Source organism: Homo sapiens, chromosome 5 (assembly GCF_000001405.40).
Source record: "Homo sapiens chromosome 5, GRCh38.p14 Primary Assembly".
In the NCBI taxonomy this organism is placed as follows: domain Eukaryota; kingdom Metazoa; phylum Chordata; class Mammalia; order Primates; family Hominidae; genus Homo; species Homo sapiens.
In genome coordinates, this window is record NC_000005.10 from 127,069,218 (window position 1) to 127,094,006 (window position 24,789).

The 24,789-nt window shown below is 40.9% G+C and overlaps 1 protein-coding gene across 12 annotated transcripts in view, besides 3 other annotated features; it reads right to left on the reverse strand.

Annotated features, from left to right (window-relative positions):
* Nucleotides 1–4,285, reverse strand: part of C5orf63 (chromosome 5 open reading frame 63) — a 30,941-nt gene extending 26,656 nt beyond the window's left edge. For 11 of the 12 annotated variants that reach the window (NR_170930.1, XR_007058603.1, XR_007058602.1 and 8 more), the window contains exons 1-2: nucleotides 4,234–4,285; nucleotides 2,367–2,468 (exon numbers count right to left, since the gene is read on the reverse strand). The gene's annotated coding sequence lies outside the window, so the exon portion shown is untranslated. Of the gene's footprint in view, nucleotides 1–2,366; nucleotides 2,469–4,022 lie in introns of all 12 variants that reach the window. The other variant, XR_007058601.1, reaches the window with a different exon arrangement.
* Nucleotides 4,142–4,361: a silencer, noted in NCBI's record as "silent region_16290". NCBI's record gives its function as "represses an Ori minimal core promoter by ATAC-STARR-seq in GM12878 lymphoblastoid cells {active_cell/tissue: GM12878}" and the evidence as "EXISTENCE:reporter gene assay evidence [ECO:0000049][PMID:35858748]".
* Nucleotides 7,567–8,149: an enhancer, noted in NCBI's record as "OCT4-NANOG hESC enhancer chr5:126412476-126413058 (GRCh37/hg19 assembly coordinates)". NCBI's record gives its function as "activates a minimal SCP1, AML or CMV promoter by ChIP-STARR-seq in primed H9 embryonic stem cells {active_cell/tissue: H9 hESC(primed)}" and the evidence as "EXISTENCE:reporter gene assay evidence [ECO:0000049][PMID:30033119]".
* Nucleotides 10,475–11,396: an enhancer, noted in NCBI's record as "OCT4-NANOG hESC enhancer chr5:126415384-126416305 (GRCh37/hg19 assembly coordinates)". NCBI's record gives its function as "activates a minimal SCP1, AML or CMV promoter by ChIP-STARR-seq in primed H9 embryonic stem cells {active_cell/tissue: H9 hESC(primed)}" and the evidence as "EXISTENCE:reporter gene assay evidence [ECO:0000049][PMID:30033119]".

A 24,789-nucleotide genomic window follows, 5' to 3' on the forward strand; every position in this document is an offset into this window, starting at 1 on the left:
CAAGGGATGGGAAAAAAGTATATAAGGAATTAGGCAGGCTCCTTTCCACATTATCCTTCTTAACCAACATGACCCATTCCCTTTGACGATATCTCTTATACTTAATACTGACCTAGAAAGAAGGCAATTTCATTAAACATCTTAGTCTTATTGTACCCAGCTAGTAATGCAAGTTTCCCTGCTATTTAAAAAGCACATAATCCCATTTCCAAAAACAACTGTTTGCAATTCAAAAACCATCCACCCAGGCAATGTCTTCTCTTTGTCCCTAAAATTCCACCCACTTTCAATTTATCTTGTCAAAGAGATAAAGTTATCTTTGTGCCCCCACAAAACCTAAAAGATGTTTCATTCATTGCTTGCCATTTTGTAGCAAGTGACTTTGGACATTGAGTTGCTAAATCCAGCATTTCCCTGGACTTGTGATAACAGTAAGACCCAGGCCTGTAGAAATACAGTCTTCAATCTGAATGTTGGGAGCCATCCACTCTTGCTTGACATTAGGCTGTGGCATCCCTCAGTTATGTGGGATTCTACAATCTTTTGAGTCCTATTCTGTTTTTTAATAGCTATCATTGATAGAATTTTTTTAATGTTTTGGAACTGGAAGTGACTTTGGAGATTCCCCTTGCTTTATGTATAAGGAAACTAATGCTTAAAGTCTTTCATACTATATTTTTTAGTTCATTTCTCTGTATTTTCTCCTGGAACAATGGCATATTTTTATATATAATGAGATCAACACAGAATTTCAGAACTAGAAGGCATCTCCAAGTTCAATCCTCTTTCTTCCCAAAAAATCGCAAAACACTTTTCATATTAATCCTCAGAGTATACCAATTAACAGACACTTCATTTTGTATAAGGCTTAATTTAAGGATGGAGAGAATGAGGAAAGTCTCAGTTTCAGACAGTAGAATTCTTTTACCATAAGAATTAGGCTCTGTTCTCTAAATCTAAAAAGATTCACATCCATTTCATTTTTGAACCTGGAGAAATGGCTGAATTTACTGAGTTTTCTATTAAATAATAGAATCATTTTTCTTCACTGGATGGAAGGACTATGTGTTTTAAGAAACAAAGAGTTTTAAAAAAATCAAATAATTCAACGTCATGTCCTTCCCTCCTGACTAAAAATCATTTCCCCATTATTTCATGATTAACATGAAAAAGCACTGGAACAATGAGAGGAAATTCATTTGTTTCCAGTTGTAACAATGCGATTTCTGCTGCAATCCCATTGGCAACAGAAGGCAGCAGCATATACCACCACTGTCCTATTACAACACAAAAAGCTGTCAACTTTGAACTCCTTTGAAATGTTGTTAGTAAAGTAGAAAAGACAAGTGTGGATTTCCTTCAATATTATTTGGGCAACCTAGACTTAAAATAGTGACCAGACTTAAGATAGTGACTCTACAGAGGTCCTCTATCCTTAAGGCAAGACCAAACCAAGATACTGGTGCCCTACATAAGCTAATAATTTGGCACACTTTCAAACAGATACTCTTCAAATATTTGCTAAACAGGTGTTTGGGTGAGGCGTTGCATGGCAGGCCTGGAGAAAGTGTGGAGACAGGACTGGTGGAAGCTTTTAGCTTGCATATTCTAAACAACAAAGGACCCACAACTGACCAGGCCAGATCTCCTTGGAAGGCAGTTTGAGGAGCATCTAATGTATTCCCAAATACACTCTTCCCTGCTCCAAGCTGTTTATTAAAGCATTACTTCTGTCTCTAGTAACAACCTGAAAGGAGGTGACTGCTTTATATTCTTTTCAGTATCTTGTTACATTCTCAATGTTTTATACTTTTTATAGATCCAACCTCCCTTCAGGGACACTATCTTTTCATTTCTATAGCTTGTACTGAGCATTTGCAATGTGCCAGGTGCTGTGCCATGTATTAGAAATATAAAAGTGATTAAGATATTGTCACTGCCCTTAAGAAACTCACACCTTGAGCAGGAGAAAGACTCACAAACAAATAACACAATACCACAGTGATGAAGGCTACAACAGTAAAAAGGCTGTTACTAGATATTACTGGTGAAATGGTCTGAAATCCTTGGAGATGGATACTTTCTAAAAATAGTAGGTAGGTTCTTTCAGTTTGCCTCCATATCTAGGAACTTTAACTTTGGTAAGGATTGGAATAAAAAGAGAGTAACATTTTCATGTTTCCTGTTCTCCGTGGCTGTACTGGGATGGGAAGTTAGGGATGTGGAATCATGTCTAAGATAAACTTAGCCAAAACTTTTCATTTGCATATTCTTCCCCAAATGATTTTGTCCCTAGAATTTGTTATGCAATACTAGGGGAAGGATAGAGGAAGCTCACCTAGTCCCTGCTGTGTAGCTACACATACCTGATCCAGATGATTTCTCCCCTTCGAAATAATTGCAAACAAGATTAAAACTGTATTCAGGAAGTATTCCAGCTGGCTTTTGGCTTCCTCTGATGTACAGTCCTTGAATAAAGCAGTAGCAAAAATTAGATTTAAATAAGGAACATAAAAACACCTCGCTACTTGTACCAGATCACCTCAAGGTCCTGCTATGTTTGAAACCCCAAGGCCTAGCATTAGAGTAACTGAATACATCAGCCAGCTAGAGTATATACAAGTTATGAAATAAAAAAACTTTAATAATAAAAAATAACCTATTTTAAAGGGATTTCTCATAGTGCCTCTGAGTACTTTAGAGCCAGGCATCTGGAACAAAATAGAAACACAGTCCAATCAACTCCCAAGTTGGAAAAATCCTCATTTCTATTACTTACCTGCCAACAGTCCATCTAAATAAAACCACACAGCCACATATTCCTCTGATGAAGGAGACAAAAAAATATTGATCCTTCCTTGGCATGTGGCTACTGCTGCCAGAGCAGGAGGGAAGAAAGACAATCTGAGGATCCTGCCTGTTTAAAGCACCAGCCCCACCAATCTTAATTTTCACAACAGGGTCTTTCTGGTTCCAGGCAATTCCTCAGCAGAGCAGGACGCAGGTTATTGGGCTACGATATTTCACACAGAACCATGATTAGTTCTGCTTTGCCCCAGTATTATCATAATTATCCAATATTTCCAGGGTGTATCTTTTTTCCCCGTGTTTTAAATCTTTCTAATTACCTATAATGCACCCCAATGTATACAGCTCCAAATATTGGTAGAGAGCTTCACATGCATTTTTATAAGCTAGTCCTCAGAATATGACCAAATGAGAAGACTGCGACCTCTAATAGACACCTCAACTTGTTCAGCATTGTGCACCAAGGCATAGCTCTAGTGGCTGCTTAAACAAGACAATGTATACTAATTCTGGGAAATGCGCTAGAAAGTATTGGGATATAACAGATCTTAGACACCATCTCTGTCCTTGAGGAATTGAGAATCTTGGGGTCAAGCTAAGGCCATACTATGGATTTTTTTTTTAAGGGCACTAAAATATAAAGTACCACATATACACTATTTATTAATAAACAAGAATAAAGATCACCCAAGCAAAACATTCCCTGTGAAAGACAGCCTTAGAAACAGTCACAAGCCTAACTCACAATGACATTTTAGTGGGGACTTTTCTACCCTTGGACTTATTAAAAAACTGTATGAGCTGCTATTTGTCAGAAGTGAATATCTGTTGAGAATGTACAGTTTCTGATTTATTCTCTCATTGTTCAGTACCCAGAGGGCTGCTTTTGCCCAATAAGGCTGAGAGGAGATCCAGACAGCTCATCCAGAGAGCCCCGGCACTCACAATGTTCCCTGCTGCACCTTTCAACCTTTTCACCCCAATTAAAGGTCAACATGGCTGCTCAAAAATATTTATTTAAAAAGGCAGTCAGCTCAGCGGGCTCCCAAGTGTGATTACACTACCACTTCATAGAATTCAATTAAACCCGGGACGGGGCATCGGCGAATCACTGGAGGAGTATGAAGTTGAGATGTTTTCTGCTTTCTCGAGATGTTTTCTGCTTTCTCTTAAAAAAAAAAAAAGCTTCCTTTTCCCGCCCGTCATTTATTTACTTCCCAGAGCGCTATCACAGACACACACACACGCGTTTATAATCTCCCCCAAGTAGTTCATGGATTTATGGCTCCCGGTTTAATTAAATTCCGTATAACGACTATCCAAATGGGCAGCACGCGGCACAGCGAACCCCCGCCAGCCTGCGCGTCAGCTCAGAGGCGGAGACCCGCGAGCGCTCACCCTCGGCGCGGGACTAAGGGAACCCACCTGAGCCTCACGCCGCCAACGCCTCTGCTTCCGCCCTGCGCCGGGCACTTCCGCCCGCACCCACCAGGCGCCGGCCCCAGGCCCCGCACTTCCGCCCCACGCCGGCAGCACTGCCGCTGGGCGTTCTATCTCAGGTGGTGTCCCGTCTACGCTCTCAAGGGTGGCCGCGCCTGAACCTTTACTCGTGAAGAGTGACACACAAACCAAGGCCAAACTAAAAAACAAAATACGGAAAAGTGACCCCGCATGTTTGGGAACCATTTAATAAGAGGCCTCAGGTGCGGGAGCCAACTTTTTGAGGCTGCGGAGTCCGAGCCATTTTAACCGCTCTGCATGCATCCATTCTTTCGTTAATTTAATATTTACTGCCTCCTCCACTAGGTCTTGGCTGAACTAGGTTATGGGGAATGCGATGAGCAAAACTGGCAGCCGTACCCTCCCGCAAACTGAAAATCGTGTGAGAAAGCAGATATTAGGAAATTATCCCTTATTAAATAGGCCATGGGTTTATTCAGCTAAGTGCTTTGCAGGGAAGGAATATGAGAAAAGACCTGAGTGGGATCTCGTTGAAGAGGTAGCTTTGGGGCTGGGATCTGAAGGGCGTGGGTTGGGGACAGAGCTCTGCAGGCTGGGGGAAGGGTCTGGTGGAGGATGTGCAGTATGGGTTGTATGCGGAAGACTGACGAGTATGGCTGAGACTTAGAGGGAATGGGGAAGAGAGGTGGAAACAGGCTAGAGAGGGTAAGCGAGAGTCTGGCCATGCAGGGCCTTTCAGGTTTGTGCTAAGGGTAGCCGGGGGGCATTTCTGTTTTATGTGGGAAGGGGATTGAACTGATTGCTTTTCCCTTCTGAAAGGACCCCTTAGCTTTGGGAAGTAGATGGGAAGGGTTTAGGATAGGCAAGAGTAGAACAAGCAGGGAGGTGAGGAAGCTACTGAGCATTCCAGGTTCTAGGTGTGGTGGCTTGAATGGTGGTACAGTAAATAATGAGAAAATGATGGATAATAATTATAGTAATACTCAAAGCTAACATTTATTGATTGCTCACCAAAAGCTTTATACTCATTAGTCTGTTTAATCCTGAGAACAATGCAATTAAGTATTACTAGTACCATTTTACAGATGAAGTAATGGAGGTTTAATAACTTGCTCAAGTTCTCACAGTTACAAAACGGTAGATTTGGAATTCCATCTCATGCTGTCTGACGCCTTAAGCTTACCACTATAAATTCAATGTGTACTCAGTGGTTTTAAAAAAGATACAAAGCAAACCAAGGTCAGGAATGAATTCTTTAAACAAACCACACTGATTATGTGATGTCGCTAGAGGCCACATTAAGATAGTAGAATTTACAAGTTCTTTGTCACTTCAGCATTTTCTGATAGGCTAAAGAGGGAATTTTGTGACTGTCAACAGACTACCTATAGTTATTTTTGAGTTGATGCACTCTGATAAGACTTAGTTTTTCTGGAAAAAAAAAAGTCAATTGATAAAGCACAGTCCACCTAACAGTTGCTGATAGGATACCTTTAAAGAAGGAATCTGGGATCTAGTTATAAACACCTTGGTGGGGCATGAGTATCTTAGATATTGTGGAGTGACAGAAAAGCTTACTAGAAATGTAACTCCAGATCAGCTTCCAAATCTTATTTATTGTTGGAAAACAAAGGTTTATAAAATCACTTGGACTTATGAAACCTGATTTCACCCACTGAAGGAAAAGAATGGATTCAACCAAGGCCAACAATGAAGGCTTTTAGCACTGGTTATGAGTAAATTTCTCTAAGGAGCCAAAAGTTCATAAATTTTCAGAATTTGAGTTTAATCAGTAAGAATTTCTTGGGTTTGTAAGTGATAGCGGAAGACCTGGAGCCTCCACATTATTGTTTTGGTTAGAGGGAGTCCTGTCGAATGTCTAGGAATCCCTGAGAACTCACTATGGTTGATACCCTCTTTGGGAGTGCCTGGCTGACTGCCATGAGCTCAGAGGACCAGTTTAGCCTCTAGGTCCAGGGCCTACAGTGCTGGGGAAGGGAGCTCTGCTTGGGAAAATATCTGGAGTCTGGCCAGGAAAAATGTCTACAAAACCAAAAAAGAAAAAAAAGGACACTCATAGCAAAATTAATGAACATTTATTAAATGATCACAAAATTGAACACTGTGTCAGCTTCATTAATGGATGGGTTTAGCATTTATAACAACTTCATTACATTGGAAAACAATTTTTAGATGAGATGCTCTCACCAAGTGAGAGTTCCTGAGTATATGTGATGAGTGTAGAGAAATTATATTTTAACTTTTAGCCACATAATTTCACAAGCAAAATTTTAAAAATCCTTTTATAGAAAAATTATTAAGTGTGAAATGTATATACCTTTTAATATGTTTCAAATGATGTGAGTGTTTTAAGAATATGAAGGCCTTAAGACAGTTCTGGATCTTGTACAATTTTGTTCATTCAAAACATGCTTGTCGCCGGGCATGATGGCTCACACCTGTAATCCCACCATTTGGGAGGCCGAGGTGGGCGGATTACCTGAGGTCAGGAGTTCGAGACCATCCTGGCCAATGTGGTGAAACCCTTTCTCTACTAAAAATACAAAAATTAGCTGGGTGTGGTAGTGGGCACCTGTAGTCCCAGCTATTCAGGAGGTTGAGGCTGGAGAATTGCTTGAACCCGGGAAGCGGAGGTTGCAGTGAGCTGAGACTCCATCCTGGGCAACAAGAGCGAAACTACGTCTCCAAAACAAAACAAAACAAAAAAATGAACAAACAAACAAAATAACATGCTTGTCATTAGGCATTTGACTTGCATGTCCTCCTCTAGGTCTGGACTGCAATTCTAGGCTATGCGCTACCAATCTGGATAGGACTGATGCAGGGATATCTGTGTGCTAGAATGTTCAGAACTCAACTGGGTTGAGTTTTTCAATGGTCATCTCTGAGGCAGAAGCCTGGTGTAGAGAAAGCCTGCTGTCACAGTCTGATCTGTAACTCCTGACATAACTCCAAAGGTACTTTAGAGGACACATGACCTATTCTTCCAGAGATGACCTGGAGCCAGGCTTCCCTCTTAAGGCCTCTGAAAGGTGGCCTGTGTGGGTGTGGAGGGAGGCATCTTCACTCCTGTCCTCTTAGCTTTGCCTCTGGCAGGAATAAAGAAGTGGGCTTTGATGTCAATATGTTCCCTTCAGAATGCCTTAGAAAAATAATGTATGTCTTGGCAAGTAGTGACTGTCATGCCAGCTCTGTTTTACAGTAATTTGGCTGTGTGTTGCCACTCAAAGAACGTGCAATTTGAACTTTGACTAGGAGGGACAGTCTCAGTAATTGCCACAATTAGGTGATGCGATTGTTTTGGTGGAGGTATTCAGAAACTTGGTAGGTTTTCTTTCCTGGTGTATTTCTGGACTTTATAGTGAGCATATTTATCTCATGAGTCGCCCATCCTCAGGTCTGCAAACTCTGCAGGAAATGAACTCTAAGGGCCAGATATTGTGTTATGTTTAAGGTCATGGAGAAAAACAGTGGCAACCTCCCAAAGAAAAGACAGGCTTCTGAGTCTGGGATGTGCTGGGTCAGTGGGGTCACTGTTGACTCCCCCAAGGCCAACCATTACAGGAAACAGAATTATAAGCCCGACCCACCAGGGGAGAATGAATCTCAAAAGCCTGATTCCTATGTCCCCATTGACATTTTAAAAACTCTGCTCTTCTGCCAGACATTCAGAGGAGAGTGAAGTAAATTTTAAAAGGAGAAAAATATTTATTTGTTTTAAAGCTTGCTCAGTAGTCCACTTAGGTCATTTACATAAACAACCTTTCCATGTAAACACCATTAATTATGTAGTATAACAGCCACATAAAAATGCTAAAAAATAAAAGTCATTGTAGAATAAATTAGAATGGCTTGAGTGCACAAATATAGAGAAACTGTAGACTTTTACATTTTATTGAAGGAAGTAGATGTGTGTTTTTTCTTTTGTTTGAGCTACTAGGATGGAACCAACAAATGACATTTTACAGATGGATACCAAAGCTGTTAAAGTTTAAACCCATACTGGTGATGAAATTACAGTTTTTGCAGGGACCTTGACTCACGCCTCTTTCTTTATCTGTCTTGAAAAGATTGTGGGGCAAGATAGGAGTTGAAGTGTCCTGTGGATTTCCCCAGAAGGTTTGTTGGAGCAAGACCATTGTTGTCTACTCCAAAATCAGTAGCTTCCAACCTCCTTTCACCTGTAATAACAGAAGATTACTTGTGTCTGTGCTAAAGGAAATGAATTGAGTGCAGCCTGCCAGGCACAAAGAAGAAGGGCAGAAACTGACACTGTTGAGGAAAGATGGCATAGGGGACCTTGTAGTAACAATACCAGGGCACATTTGTGTCACCCTTTGTAGTACTGCAAGCATCTTTATAGATATCATTTAATATGATTCTTCACAATAATTCTGTAAGATAGACAGGGCATGCATTTTTATCAGTCCCATTTTACAGACAAGGCAATTGAAGCTTCATGAAGGAAATCACAATGAAGCTGGAATTGGAAAGCATTTCCTAACTCCCATCTATATTTTTTTCATTACCCCATTCATAATTCTTTTTAAATGTAATTGAAGAGAAACATGGTTCAGTTCCTAGCAATATTTTGTGCTATGTAGGATCTTTTAAGAATGTTGAGTGCATTTACATCATTTCCTCAGGGAAAGTTTTGTTTTACCTGGACAGGCAGGAAATGGAGTTGAAATGGGAAAAGTTTTTCATTTTTATGGATTAAACCCATCTGTTATGTTCACTAAGGCTAGGTCATGGAGGAGGATAGATTTCTCATGGCATAAAGAGAGGAGAGTAAAATGCACCTCCTTTATTCCCTGGTTCAGATTCACCCCCATCCAGAGAGTCCTGTTCAGACAAAACAGGGCAGCCAGCCTATCAGTCAGAAAGAAAAGATACTGTGGCCCTCAAACATGCCCCAGCATACTGAGCAGTCTTCCACAAAGTTGAAGTTAATACTTATTGCTCGGAAGAATTCTGAGGGATAATCTTTTTGCACATATTTGAACCTCCTTCAGAGACATATGTTTAAATATTTTACTATATTATCTGCTGTGTCTGCACAGGACAAAATAAAGGAAAATTTCCAATTTATTCAGAATAATGCTGACTACTTACTATGTGCCATAGTCAAGCGCTGGAATGCTAGTGTTTGTTTGTTTGTTTTTTTCCTGAAACGGAGTTTCACTCTTATTGCCCAGGCTAGAGTGCAATGGCGCAGTCTCAGCTCACTGCAACCTCCACCTTCCGGGTTCAAGCAATTCTCCTGCCTCAGCCTGCTGAGTAGCTGGGATTACAGGCATGCACAACCGTGCCTGGCTAATTTTGTATTTTTAGTAGAGACAGGGTTTTACCATGTTGGTCAGGCTGGTCTCGAACTCTTGACCTCATGTGATTTGCCTGCCTCGGCCTCCCAAAGTTCTGGGATTACAGGTGTGAGCTACTGTGCCCTTCCTGGAATGTTAATGTTTTTTGTTTTTGTTTTTGTTTTTTTTGAGACAGAGTCTTGCTCTTTCACCCAGGCTGGAGGGCAGTGGTGGGATCTTGGCTCACTGCAACCTCCACCTCCCGGGTTCAAGTGATTCTCCTGCCTCAGCCGCCTGAGTAGCTGGGATTATAGGCACACGCCACCACGTCTGGCTAATTTTTGTATTTTTAGTAGAGATGGGTTTTCACCATGTTGGACAGGCTGCTCTTGAACTCCTGACCTCAAGTGATCCACCTGCCTGGGCCTCCCAAAGTGTTGGGATTACTGGCATGAGCCACCGCACCCAGCTTGGAATGTTAGTGTTGAACCACACACGTACCCCTTGTAATAGAGCTCACAGTCAAATATTAATGAAATGATCATGTCAATATTTACTGTAGAAAACCCATTTTCCAATGGGAGTAAGACCAGTAACTAGTTAATTGGAAAATGCAGTTAAAGTGGGAAGTATGTATATGATTTGATATATATATATTTAATCATATAGGTATGGTTATATATATATAAATATTTTATTTTTTTACTTAAAATACATAAACGAACATTCATTTGCTAAATTTGTTAGAGTCAAGATGGTTTCTTTTAGGATCTGTCCAGTCATTGAAAGTTTACGTTATCTTTCTTGCATAAAGCTCACTCAAAATGATGGGATATACATTATCATCTACAATTTCTAGTTTCAGATACTCTAAAGTGGAGGGAAAACTTAAAGACACTTGTGAAGTGTCTTCACTAAGTGAATTCACTTAGATTTTTATTTTTTCCCCCAATCTTTTACACTTGTCTTGCCTACAACTAATTTAAGAGCAGTTATTTTCCCCCAGCTTTTCAGGTCTTTCCAAGGCATTTAACTGAGCTTTCATAGAGACAGTAACTCTCTTTTCATGCTCATATTTTATCAGTTTATGTGATATTTAATTAAACTACATAATTATAGTAATCAAGTACAACTGCCATAAACAGGTTTGGGAACAAAAACAACCCACTCTTAGTAAGCATAAGCTCAGCTGGTGGGAGTAGAGGCCTTGAGGTTACCAGGTGGCAGAAGCCTCAAGTGTTGATCGTGATCCGGGCAATCCATCAATACGTTTTACAAAGGGATTTGAAAGCATCACTTAATTCCCTGCGGTGCTGAATTAAGAGAGCTTCTGTTATAATTAACAACGAATAAATATTACTAAAGAAAAGCGGTGGGTGCCATAAAAGTCTGTGACTGGGGGATGTGATATATACATCACAGTCCTGGGGCGTTAGGAAAGACTTGACTGTTGACCTAAGATCAGACGAAGATTAGAGTTACCTCAGAGACAGGCTGGGGCAGGAATCTGGAGAAAGCGTTCCAGGCAGCAGGAGTAGCAGGGTCAATGGTGTGAGGGTGGAGGGAGGATGTGTTGAAAATGAGGAACTCAAAGAAGGCAGTGTGGGTGGAGCAGAGTGTGGCAGCTGGGGAGCAGTCCTGGATGAGGCAGAAGGAGGTAGAGGCCACTTCATGCAAGCTTTCCGGGCTCTCACGAGCAGGGGATCTTCATCTCTATCGACAGCGGGAAGCTGCCAATGCATGTGAAGTGAGAGTGTGCTTATTTGATCAAGAGCAACAGCCAATTTGTAGAGTTTAGACCCCCAAATCTAATTTGCATACTTGGCTTGTATATTTTCCTAATCTAAATACACTATAGGTAATGGAGAAAAAAATTTTTTTTTCTTGACCTCTGGCATCAGAATTTCTCTTAGGAAGGGAACTGTCCTTATTCAGGAAAATGCATTCATTGGCAGCTTGTGGGTCAGAGATGAAGATCTGAGGATAGGTGTTGAGATAATAAAGAGATGCTAAATATCTCTGCTGAGAAAATAAAAGCGAGTGAGAGAGAAGGAAGGGGAGTTTTGTATTAGTTTTCTAGGCCTGCCTTAACAAAGTACCACAAACTGAGTGGCTTAGAATAACAGACATTTATTCTCTCCACTTTGGAGGTTAGAAGTCTGAAATCAAGGTGTCAGCAGGGCCATGTTCCCTCTATAAAGCTCTGGACAGATTTTTTCCTTGCCTCTTCCTGGTTACTCCCGGTGCCTGTGCAATCCCTGGTGTTCCTTGGTTTGCGACTCCATCTCTCCAGCTCTGACTCTGTTGTCACATGGCATCCTCCTTGTGTGTCTCTGTCTGTGCGTCTTCTCCTTTTCTTATAAAGATGCCAGTCATATTGGATTAGGGTCCACCGAAATTACTTCATCTTAACTTGCTTGCATCTGCAAAGACCCTGTTTTCTAAATAATGTCCCATTCACATGCACTGGAGGTTAGGACTTGAATATATCTTTTTGGGGGACACAATTCTACCCATAACTGGTGTAAACAGGGAGAGGTGAGAAGGATCAGAAAAATCATGAGATGTTAAGGGGTTAGGGTGGCTACAGCCATTAAGAAATTGCTGGTGGTGGAATGGCTGAGCAGACTAATAATGCATTTTAAAGTGCTTTTTGAAGACATAGAAGTAGCCAACAAACATGAAAAAATGCTCATCATCAGTAATCATCAAAGATATGAAAATCAAAACCACAATGAGGTATCACTTCACACCAGTCAAAATGGCTATTAAAAGTCAAAAAATAATAAGGGCAGCAAGGCTGTGGAGAAAAGGGAATGCTTATGCACTGCTGGTGGGAATGTAAATTAGTTCAGCCACTGTGGAAAGCAGTCTGGAGATTTCTCAAAGGACTTAGAACTACTATTAGATCCAGTAATCCCATTAATGAGTATATACTCAATGGAAAATAAAACATTGTATCATAAAGACACATCCACTCATATGTTCATCAAAGCACTATTCACAATAGCAAATACATGGAATCAACCTAGGTGTTCATCAATGGTGGATTGGATAAAGAAAATGTGGTACATATACACCATGGAATACTACGCAGCCATAAAGGAGAATGAAATTATTTCCTTTGCAGCAACATGGATGCAGCCAGAGGCCATTATCCCAAGTGAACTGACGCAGGAACAGAAAACCAAGTACTGCATGTTCTCATTTATAAATGGGAGCTAAACATTGGGTACACATGAACATAAAGATGGAAATCACAGACTCTGGGGACTATTAGAGCGGGGCAAGAGGGAGTGGATAAAGGTTGAAAAACTACCGATTGGGTACTATGCTTACTACCTGTGTGATGGGCTCATTTGTACTCCAAACCTCAGTGTCACACAATATACTCATGTAAAAAAACCTGCACATGTACCCCCTGAATCTAAAATGAAAGTCAAAATTATAAAAATAAAGATCTGATCCAAAAATAAATAAGTAAAGTATCTTTCTTCCCTTGTAAGACATGACAGCCTACAAAATGTCTCCCCACTGTGCCCAGGGTGATGACTCCCACCTTTTCAGTGACACTTCTATTACACATGTGTTTGTTGATGCTTTGGTGGAGGAGATGAGGGGGCAAAAGACAAGTGGGGTCACCGAGAAGGACTTGGGTCCCATGTTAGGGTTGCTGACATAAAGGATGCAATCATAGGAAACCTCCAGAGAACAATTCAAGAGATGTTGGAGATTTCTCAAAGGACTTAGAACTACCATTAGATCCAGTAATCCCATTAATTACTGGCGGTGGGGGTGGGGGTGGGGGTTGGGGAGGGTGGCGGGAAAAAGTAATTCTGTGATTGTAAACCACTGTTCGTGTGTCCTGGTCTCCCAGATATTCAGAGAAATATTGAATTTCCACAATCTCTAGCATGCGGGTTTGGAAACTTTATCTCCATCTTGTTGGGCAAGGACCAGGGTTTCAAATATAGTTATTAAAAATCTTCCTCTTCATTTGGTGCTGTCAACCCTTTGAGGGTACAGTGCAGGGTTTTCGCTATATTTAGAGTGCTTATGAGTTACTTAAGAAAAACACACCCCAAATCCTGTATTCTACATCTCTTGCCCTACCATTTTCCAAATATCAAAATTCTGAATAGACGATCACTTTGATGGTGGGAGAATGTTCCCTGAAGTTCAGTTTTTAGGTCTTGTCAGTTTCCCTTCTTACTTCAGTAAGGCTTAACGTTTTATTTCTGGATCGCTGGCTGAGGCACTGAAGCTCTTCCACGCCATTCACTCAGGTTGCTGGTTCGACTCTCAGAACAAAGGAAATGATTTCCTGCAGTGAGTCCAGATGTTTGTGTTCGGCATTACTGCTATTAGCCATCAAGTCTGAGAACTGTACAAAATTAAATCCATCCTTGAGGCCTAGAAGGGAAGACAATCTTAATAATAGTGTAATGTCCTCAGAGTGAAATATCCTGAAGTGGGGGAAGAACTACCATCTCCATGAACTACAGTCCTGCACTGCAGCCTTTTTGTTCATTTCTGTGCTTCATTTACATTGGTATTTAACACAAATGTGGTTTTAAAGCATATCAAAGCCGCCTTAAAACCTAAGTAACTGGCAAATGGTTAGAATAATTAATAAAGCAGGTTTTTGTTTATTCTGTAAGCAGTTCAAGGAAATTGAGAAAATTTGCAGTTGGCAAAGGTATTATTGGTGGCTAACACATCGCACCTCAGTAGAAACTTTCATCATCTCAGTTGTGTCATGAGCACTGAGGCTGCCCAGGCAAAATAAAGTGAAAAGCGGGCAATTACACAGAGACTGTGAATGCAATATGAGGCTGTGTTTGGATATTTAGGCAAGAAACCTTTAGGGTCTTCTCTCACTTTGTGAACCCTGCATGGATTGTTGGTTAGAAGGGCTGGATGGTGCTCTACTTTACCCCTGAAGGAATTGGCTAACCCATCCATTCTCCTGAATTATGTCAGGGAATTTGTGTTCTCTAGCTGCTGAGAAAAGATGCGTCCTCTTGGTGACTCTCACAGTCATCCTCTTAAGCCTCTGAGAACCAGCTGGTTTTTTGTTTGAACCAAGTCATGTGCACATGACTCCTGCATGCTGAGGGAAGGTGTCCTCAACAGAGGCCCTCATGTCTCAGCAGTCCTGAGATGACCCAGAGAATGCTAGAGGAATGGGCTCTGAAATTCCCTCTGACCCAAGGCCTATGCCATGTGCCAGTTCTGTATACGGTTGGTTCTTTTCCATAATTCCTGCTCTGCCCTTGTTAGTCCTCACAATAACCCTTTAAAGAAAATTATTCTGCCAATATAAAAGGTGCCAGTCTTCTATGGCACCCTGGCTTTTACCATACCCCAAGCCCAAGACCGTCTTTCCGAAGCTCTGTGTAAACTCTAAATGGTTACCACATGTAAGAAAGATTAAAACAGAGGGGGAAAATAATCTCAGCTTGAACTAGCCACATTGGTGCTGATTACCTTGCAGATATAAAGCATTCTTACATTTTAAACATTTCCATTTTTTAATAAAGAGCAAGTCAAAGTTGGCCAGGATTCAGAAGAAGTCTCTTGAAATGGTAATATATTTAAGAAGGTTCTTTATAAAATCAAGAGTGGTAGCTACTTTCTTAGTAGCTTCCAAGAGTGGAAAAAGCAGGAAGACTGAAGGATATCAATACTTTGACAGGTCTGAATGTTAGAAAGTGGGGATCAGTTATTCTCATTAGTCAAAGAGAGAAGACAGGAGTAAGGCATAAGTTTGGTGGAATAAGAGAAAGTTAATCTAAGAAACACATAAGTACAATGAAACTGGCTTTGTCCTCTTGTACTGCTGGTGGCAATTCAATTATCATACAGTCATATTTCTTATTTTGTAATTGTTAATTGGTTAAGGCATAGAGCATTTCTGTGAAATTCTTCTCTCTTTCCTCCCAAGCATGTGTGTGTGTGTCTGTGTGTGTGTGTCTGTGTATGTGTGTGTATGTTTGTATACAAAAATGAGGAAATGGAGAAACAGCGGAGACATGTGTTACTAGCTCCCTCTATCTGGATCTGGGGAAGGCCCAAACCCCAGACTTACTGTTCCCTTCTGCTATCGTGAGGTAGATGGTCACTTTGAAGACACTCACAGTTTCTTTGCCACCAGGTCTTACTGTAGGGTTATTTGTGGTTTTTTGGTTTTGCACTATTTTTTCTGGTCATCATCGATTCTCACATAAGTGCAGATGATGAGGGAGAAAATCTAACTAAATGGAATCCTTACTACATGTGTCATATTTTCTCTGCCCAGTGCCTGTCTTAAAAGCGTATCTGATTGTATATTATCTCTCATAGCTTGCTTGGACTCCTCTTTCCTCTTGGTCTCGGGAAAAGAGACAAAGGGAGAGGTGTTTAAAGGTAGTTCGCCATGGCATGCCGCCTGTACTCTTGCAGGTAATTTACACGCCACGTGGTCTCCACCATTGCTGTGTGCTGTAACTCAGTAACCCAATGGTAGCTTGACCTTCAACAGCTGCTGAGCCTCTCTGTTTCTAAAAAGGGGCAGAAGAGGCCATTAGAGCAAGGAAATAACATGTGGCTTTCCAAACTGCATGAAATACGTCTATTGTGACTAGATGAATTACATATTCATGAAAACTGTGAAATGGAAGACAACTCTGCTTGCCAAGCCCTCACACTGGCTGAGCACAAGGCCCAGCAAACAATGCAAAGCTCTGGCTCTCTCACTTATTTACCTTGCCAGTCAACATGTACTGTGCAATTACAGGTTTCTACAAGTCATGAGAGGAAAGCTGGGAAGACTTCTGCGTTTCCAAAGAAAACTGAATTCCAGAATTATTACATTTTAATCTCATGCCAATGAGCATTTATTGAGTGGCCACTGTTCTAATATTATCCCAACAAAACTGCAATAATGTATTATTAGGAAAGGAATTGACTAGTCAAAAGTGAGCCTGCACACACTGTAACTATCCCCCTTTCCTCCATTAAACAGGATGTCTAACTAGTATGTGTATAACCACTCACACCAAGATAAGAGTTTTGATGTTTCTATTTCTTATTACTTCCTGTTAGAAGAGAATCATGGAAACTCTTTCTACCTTACAGATAGGAAAAATGAAGCCAGCCATGTTAAGTGACCTCCCAAGGGACGTTGTCACTGGCAGAGCCGGGAAGAATATTGCATTGCTGTCTCTTGACTCTGAGTTCATATTTACTGTACCAGAGCACGCATATGGATTTGATGTTAGTATTACAATATCAGTAACAAGGATGACCAAAGAGATTCTGACATTTCAAGTGCTCTCCGTGGTTCTGTTCGTAGCTCATCAAGGGCATAGGTCCAATACTGGTTAGTATCATGCACATGCTGTTCCTCTTAGCTTCAGTCCTTTCCCCTTCTCCACCCTAATATTGTTTCATCTTTACATTTTCTGCTGATCTGGGTGAGCTAAACAGGCTCACTGGTAGCTATGCAAACCCTCTTCTTGGGGTTTCTGTACTGCAGAGGTTCCAAATATGATTTAGGGCTCTGTTAGTCAGATGCATTCACAGAAGACTTAAAATCAGAATTGAGTTAAATGGCAAGAGCTGTGTGGTCTGTTAGCCTTTATTATTCCCCCCAGCAAGGATCTAACAGGAACCAACAATTGTACCCTTGAAAATTGCAAATGAGGTGTATTCCTGGAGCCAGTGGTTGCACTGTCAGTCTTTTGATTTCCAAGCTTCCTGAATATGGCAGAGAAGGCAGCTCCACCTGGGAGTCCGGTTCTGCAGTATTGTTCTAGGATATATTTCTCCAGGTTTCACAGAGACTGTTTTTCCTGACCTTTCAAAGATTTTGTTAGCACCTGATTTCCTGTATTAAATCCTGTTCTACTTAAACTTGCTAGAATGGTTTCTCTGATCTACAGCTGAGTCCTGACTGATCTGCTGCTCAAAGATCACCTGTAAGGCCCTCTGCACCCTGAGTCATCTGTCTGTGTTCAATCACATCATGGTGCATTTAAATCTCTCTCTCTCTCGCTGTACGTGTGTGTGTCTCCTATGCCCAGACTACAAGGTTATTCATCTTTTAGTCCTGCTATACCTGGGACAAAGCTGAGCACATAATATTCACTTAAGAGATGTTTGTTTGAATAAATGGATGGATGACTAAATGCATAGGAACAAATATCCTGTGACGCTTAGTTCATGGGAGAATGAAAAACTTGTTGAAAATGCAATTTTATTTCATATATACGCCATTAGTGTATTTTATATAATAAAATGTAGAAAGGCACATACTTTTAGCTTGATATTAATCACTACCTCTTACTTAAACAGTCAAATGGGATTTGCTGCCCAGCAGTTAAATATTTTGCTATCCTCGGAAGACTAGCAATGTGCATTGATGAATGTGAGCCTTACCTCTTAGCTTCTGCCTCTTCCCCATTACATTTCTTCCTGGGTAAATTCTGAACAGGTGCTACTAGATGCCTCATTAACTGCATGGAGCTTTAGAAATCATGGGTGAGATGATCCCTTGCCAGAAAGTAAGCCCTGAATTCTTTAAACACTGTCCTGGACTTAAAGTACTGTGATTCTTTCTGTGTTGCCATCGGCGACAGACAATGGCTTAAGGTGCCAAGAGCTTGAATTGATGTTACGTCTTATCTTACTCTGATCTTCCTTCTTGTCATTATTTAGCCCTTTCTCTATCATTTATGTTTCATTTCTCCATTAATATTTATTAAGTGCCTACAGCTTACATAGTAATAATAACGGTAGTAATATATACATTCTATTTTTAAAAGCTACTGTAAAAAATTTTCACAATTTGTAACTAATTTAATTCTTGCTAAAATTTTCTGAGGTCAGGAGGGTAGGCACTGATATTCTCATATTATCTGTTGAGGGTTGAGAGACACAAAAAGAGTAAGTGTCCTGCTGAAAGTCACACAGTAGAGGTGGGCCTACATGGTACCAACTGACATGATCCTAGGTTCAGTGCTTGTCCTGATGCCATTTTTTTTTTTTTGAGATGGAGTCTTGCTCTGTTGCCCAGGCTGGAGTGCAGTGGCATGGTCTCAGCTCACTGCAACCTCCGCCTCCCTAGTTCAAGCGATTCTCCTGCCTCAGCCTCCCTAGTAGCTGGGATTACAGATGCCAGCCACCACACCTGCCTAATTCTTATATTTTCAGTAGAGATGGGATTTCACCATGTTGTCCAGGCTGGTCTTGAACTCCTGATCAGCCTCCCAAAGTGCTGGGATTACAGGCGTGAGCCACTGCACCCAGCCTGATGCCATATTTTTAATGGTAAGAAACAAGATGAAGATAGAAACACAAACTTTAGAATATCATATCTTTAGGACTTTGCACCATGAACCAGTATATTATGTACGTGTGGACACAGAGGAAATATCTTGAAGAGAGTTTCAAAATCCCTCAACTCAATTATGCAAGATATTTCTACCATTCATGAATGTAGTGCTGCATATATACATAGCACCCAATTGGAGAGAGCAGGCAAATCTCAGCTGGTGATGATGAATCTCTTTGGCATTAACAGTCCCATTGCAGCAGCAATCAGAGGAGGCCACACACCCACAGTGCTCTGCCCTGGCCCGATGACACACAAGATATTGAGCAATATTTCCAAGTAGTAGACCAGCCAGGGGAGGGGAATCTGGGTGGGAGAAACATTCTAGAAACCAAGTCAGTTGGGAATTGATTTAAGGGTCTAGGGAGGAGAGAGGGAGAAGAGGGGAGGAGATGGTGAATCATTTTCTGTGTGACACCAGAGAGCAATATACTTATACCAGTGGGAAGAGCTACAGGGAGGGCAGAAGAACGTGTTTTCTGACAATTATAGGAGTCCAAAAATGAGCTGGACCACACTGGAAGGTAATAAGCTCTTCATCATCAGAAATGTTCAAGAAGATGAACACCTGTCAAGGCTGCTGTAAAGGAGCTGCCCACGTGGGGAGGTTAGTTTCATCAAGTTGTCAGACGCCAGCAGGCTGGGAGCTGGTGGAGAAGCAGACCTCACCCAAGGAGTCTGACTTAGTAGCTCTGGTAGTATGTAGAGAATCTTTGTTAGAAACTGCTAGACCAGAGCAATGGACTCCACAGTGGAGGGCACAAGATACATGAAATCCCCTTGATATTTACATTCTATATAAGAGTAAAAAAAAGAAAGTAGGCCTACTAACATTTGATGTCTAGTGAATCAGACAGTCTTGTGCCACATCTGAGAGGTCACACAGGACACTGCAGCAAGAGCAGGAGTCCTCCAACACGGAAGGCTGCAGCAGGATCTTCCTTTGTTTGTTTACATTCACATGTTTCCATACACCTGTAGTTTAACTGTGCCCTGTGAAAGAAATGCATCTTAAATTGCAGAATTGCAAATAGTATTAGCTTTAGCTTAAATGAAATGGGAAATAAACATGACAATTGTTGTGTCACAAAGAGGTTTGTGGGTTATCTTGGGATGAAATAAAGCACAGTCTAACTTAAAGTTGTGCATTTTTTCTTACAAGAAGAAGCATGCAATCATGCAAGTATGCTGACTTCCTGTGACAAGTGGCAGATGGTAGTAGACTTCTTAGACAGTTTTGAACAAATAAACACACTTACTGGTCCCATTTAAATACATGGACCAGGCATGTTCTGCTTTCAGTGGGTTAAGTCATTGACTCATGACACAGCCTTAAAAAGTAGGGACAATTAACTCCATTTTACAGATGAGGAAACCAAGGCTCAGAAAGGCAAAACTGACTTCCCCAAGATCACTCAGTAATCAGTGAAAGAGTGGGGTTTAAAGGAAGAGTCTTTCTCAGTCAAACTAATTTACTTCTCTAAGGTGAGAAATCAGTTGCTTTTTGAACAAAGAAAACCAAAAACCTCTGCAATGATAAAAGCATTTTGCAAATAATGGCTGAAAATGTTTCCATCGTTAATGTTATTTTTGTTGCCAAAGCTGTGTAAATGTATAACCTTTAACAATCAGAACACTGGAAACTTAGAAAACCTAGTAATAAAATTTTAAAATCGATTTTAAAGTGAAGAGTTTCAGGATATTTTGAAGAACGCATTTATTAAACACATAAAAATTCATTAAGTTCTAACTTGCTGGCAAGAACAAATGATAGAGCAGGAAAAAATGAAATTCACTAGCAAACTTAAAAAAAGAACTTTCTCATAACTGGTGGATGCAAGTTAAAATAAGTTTCATGATTTAGTAAGCCCAGCCAACAATGCATCTTTCCCACATTTGGATCAACATATTTTGGAGAAGCATCTTTCTCAGCAATGACAGCCATTAAGGCTGCACCAAACTTTCAGATTCCTCTATCACAAGGAACTAAACCAAGATTTTTCTTTTTTGTAATGAAGCATATTCAAGTGGATTATTCTCAGTAAAGAAACGTTATCAGTGGTGGCAGCTTTTTAGTGAGAGTAAAAATTCTTTATATAAAATACAATAAAACAAAAATTGTTTTAAAACATTTTATCTTCACGTGATCTTTTAAATTATTGTGCATGTGTTATAATGTTCATAATGTGTCAGTACCATAGTGTGTGTACATAACTTATAAGTGGATATATAAAAATAACCGGGTGCCTACTCAGATATTTTACTAAGATGGGACATGGTCAGCTGAGTTTGGAGACTACTGGATGTGACATCTTTCAGTGTCCACTCCTTAGCTTCGAGTCTTCTAGTCTCTGGTAAATGATCTGCTCTTACCTGAGCTGTGGGTGATAAAGCCTAAGTACCAGGAAGACGCTTCCCTCCAAGGTAGGCAGCACCTCATTATCCAGCTCAGTGCCCAAGAACCCATCCAAGAAAGCAGAAACTGAAAGAGAAAAACACCCGAAGACCCACATTTCCAAGTGAACCAACTTGATTTAAGATTTGAAGCTATCTGTGTTTTGTACAACATCTAATGCACTGTTGATGTTCGATAAATAACAAATCGTGTTATTAATAATTAAGAATTGATGTTTGTGCTCCTGTGAATTGTCTCTCAGAAGAATTATTCCCCATTCACTCATAAAGAAAAATGAGAGGAAGAGACAGAGGAATAGCTTTTAAGGAAATTTAGTTCCAGCTACTTTGTGTGCATGTGTTTTTTTCTCCTCCTTCTTTGGTAAATCTGATGAATAACTGAAGAAGACAAGACCCAGAACCAGCCTAAGCTGCTTCCCCAGCCCCTTTGTCTTCCTATCTTTAGGTGGGAATGTCTAGAATGTTGAATTATATGATTTTAAAGTGCTTGACAAACATTAATTAACTGGGGGTCGTTCTTTGTTTGAAGAGAGTTATATCTAATTGTGAATATGTCTCCAATTATCTGTTCCTCTTTTTGACTGTATTATTATCTAAAATGTGCAGTATCTGATTTGCTTGTACATTTAATTTGGTAGGCTTTTGAAATAGGTGGCAACCATGAAAAAAGGGACATACAGTCACCTTAATGAGAAAAATCGTAATTGTGTGAGATTATACTTATGCTCATGTATGTGTATTACATGAATCCACATACACATGCACATGCAACCCTCCCCGCCACCACATACATCCTTCCTTCTGTTTGTAACCACACTCTCTTTTAAGCCATGAATTTCAACAATTTTGATCACACACACTGAACTGGACTCCATTCCTTCTGAGCTAGAGGAATTGTTGAGATTGGCTTTTTAATAGCAGAAATCAGAAAAGCTCTCTAGAAAAGTGAATTAATCCTCTTGCAAAAGCAAGTGTAATTAATCACAAGAGAAAACTGGCCATGCATGTCAACCGAGTTCAGGGAATTGGCTGAGCATTATTGATTCGTTACCCACCATGACCCCTCCTCCCACCTCATGCAGAAGGAGAGGTGATGGTGTGGACGGCAGCCATACCTGAATCTGGCGCGTGGACTGGAGAACCAGAGGGATTACAAACTGTGAGAGATGCTGGGCTCATGCTTTGGATAGGCTGTGCACACTGTTAATTAGGATCATAGATTTGAACAATGTCTAAAATAATTAGCCAGGGCGGGTATGTGCCTGTGCAGGGGTGGCTTACAGATTTTTCTGTTGCTTAGAGAAATTTTCTATAGTAACAAAGGAATAAAATGTAAATTAATTCACAACTGCAGGACTTACACTTAGTAGGCATTTCAAAGCTGACTTCCAAGTAAACCACATACCAAAACCTAGACATGTCAGTAGCTTATAAATACTGATATGTATGTCACTCTTAGCCTCATTTCTTTGTACTGCTCATCAGCTTTTAGAGGCAGTGTCACTTGGTGGAGACAATAGACCTGAATTCAAATCCCACCTTCATCATTTACTCACATTTACACACCACAGATCTTAAAATCCTTATCAATAAAAAGAGAATCATAGTACCTGCTAGGGGTGAATTGCGTCCCTCCAAAATTCATATATTGAAGCCTTAATCCCAGTACCTCAGAATGACTGTAGTTGGAGACAGGGCCTTTTACAGAGGTATATTAAGTTGCAGTGAGGCCTTTAGGTTGGGCCCTAATCCAATCTGACTGCTGTCCTTATAAGAAGAGGAAATTTGGACACAAGCGACATCAGGGATGCATGTTCACAGTGGGATCACCAAGTGAAGAGGCAGAAGGAGGGCAGCCATCTACAAGCCAAGGAGAGAGGAGAGAGAAAACCAATCCTGCCGGCACCCTGGTCTTGGACTTCCTGTCTCCAGAACTGTGAGAAAACACACATCTGTTGTTTAAGACACCCAGTCTTTGGTATTTTGTTATGGCAGCCTTAGCAAACTTAAGTAGTACCTTTTACATGCTTATTATGCAGATAAAGGGGATGATTTTTGCATAGAGCCTGGCATATGTTCTCAATTAATAACAGTTGTTATTGTCATGTAGCTAATCAGTAAATATGATCTCTTTCCTTTCTCCCTGAAGAGGCTGTCATTTCTAGGACTTCTTAGCCCTATTCCATGATATCTATTTGAAACCTGACTCCAGGCAGTATGACTCTTTCCTCTGTGTCCTATAGGATGCTGCCAACCCAGTCTCCTTATGAGCGGTCAGCCAGCCCTCCCTTAACGCCTCTTGTTCCTGTCTGGATTCTTCCCTCTGGTTATTTTCAGGCCTGACTTAAGGAGACAGTGGTTTCTCTGTGATTGGCTGCCCTACCTTCTTCTTTCCCTTCAAAATCTACAAGGAAAGCGATGTCCACCAGCTGTGCAGGTGGCTGTAAAAAGAGTTGGAGAATATCTCACTGTGGTACTGCTGATGTCCTGTATTTCTGTGCTTTTTTTCATTGACATGGAGAGGTGTCTGGATATCTAATGGCTCCAAGTTTTGCATAAAGTCAATGCAGGTGTCATCCCAGACACAAACACCAATACCTGTGATGTGTCCACTTTTTTTTTTTTTTTTTGAGATGAAGTCTCACTGTGTCACCCAGGCAGGAGTGCAGTGGCACAATCTTGGCTCATTGCAACCTCAGCCTCCCGGGTTCAAGCGATTCTCCTGCCTCAGCCCCCTAAGCAGCTGGGACTACAGGTGTGCACCACCAAGCCTGCCTAATTTTTATATTTTTAGTAGAGACAGCATTTCGCCATGTTGGCCAGGTTGGTCTCAAACTCCTGACCTCAGGTGATCTGCCTGCCTCAGCCTCCCAGAGTGCTGCGATTACAGGTGTTAGCCACTGTGCCCGGCTTCCCACTTCTGATGTTTAGCTTTGGAGCTAGGTAAATTAGCACAAACCCACATCAGAACACTTTCCATCCTGATCCCAAATGAAGCAGTTGGTGATGTACAGCCCTGCTGATGATGATGGCCTCGAGTCTAGCCCCTGCCTGTGAGGGCTATGTGTGCTGGCAATTGTTCAGGGACCTTGCTCATCTCCGGCTGAGGAGAGAGGACCTGCCATGATGACAGTGTGTCACATGGAACCACAGCAGAGGCCCAGGGCCTATTTTTAAGATGTTTAGGATGAAAGAGATTCTTCAGAAAGAAAATTCAGAGGTGTTCTCTTTCCTTTATGGGTTAGCAAGCTTGCTGGCTGCAACCATTACTGTGTTCATTAATTTAACAAGTATTTACTGCATGCCCACCAAGTACAAACCACTGAAATCCTCCGTGAGGAGCATAATAATGATAAAAATGTCTGATGATGTCATAGGCATTGTATTAATTCCTTTACATATTAT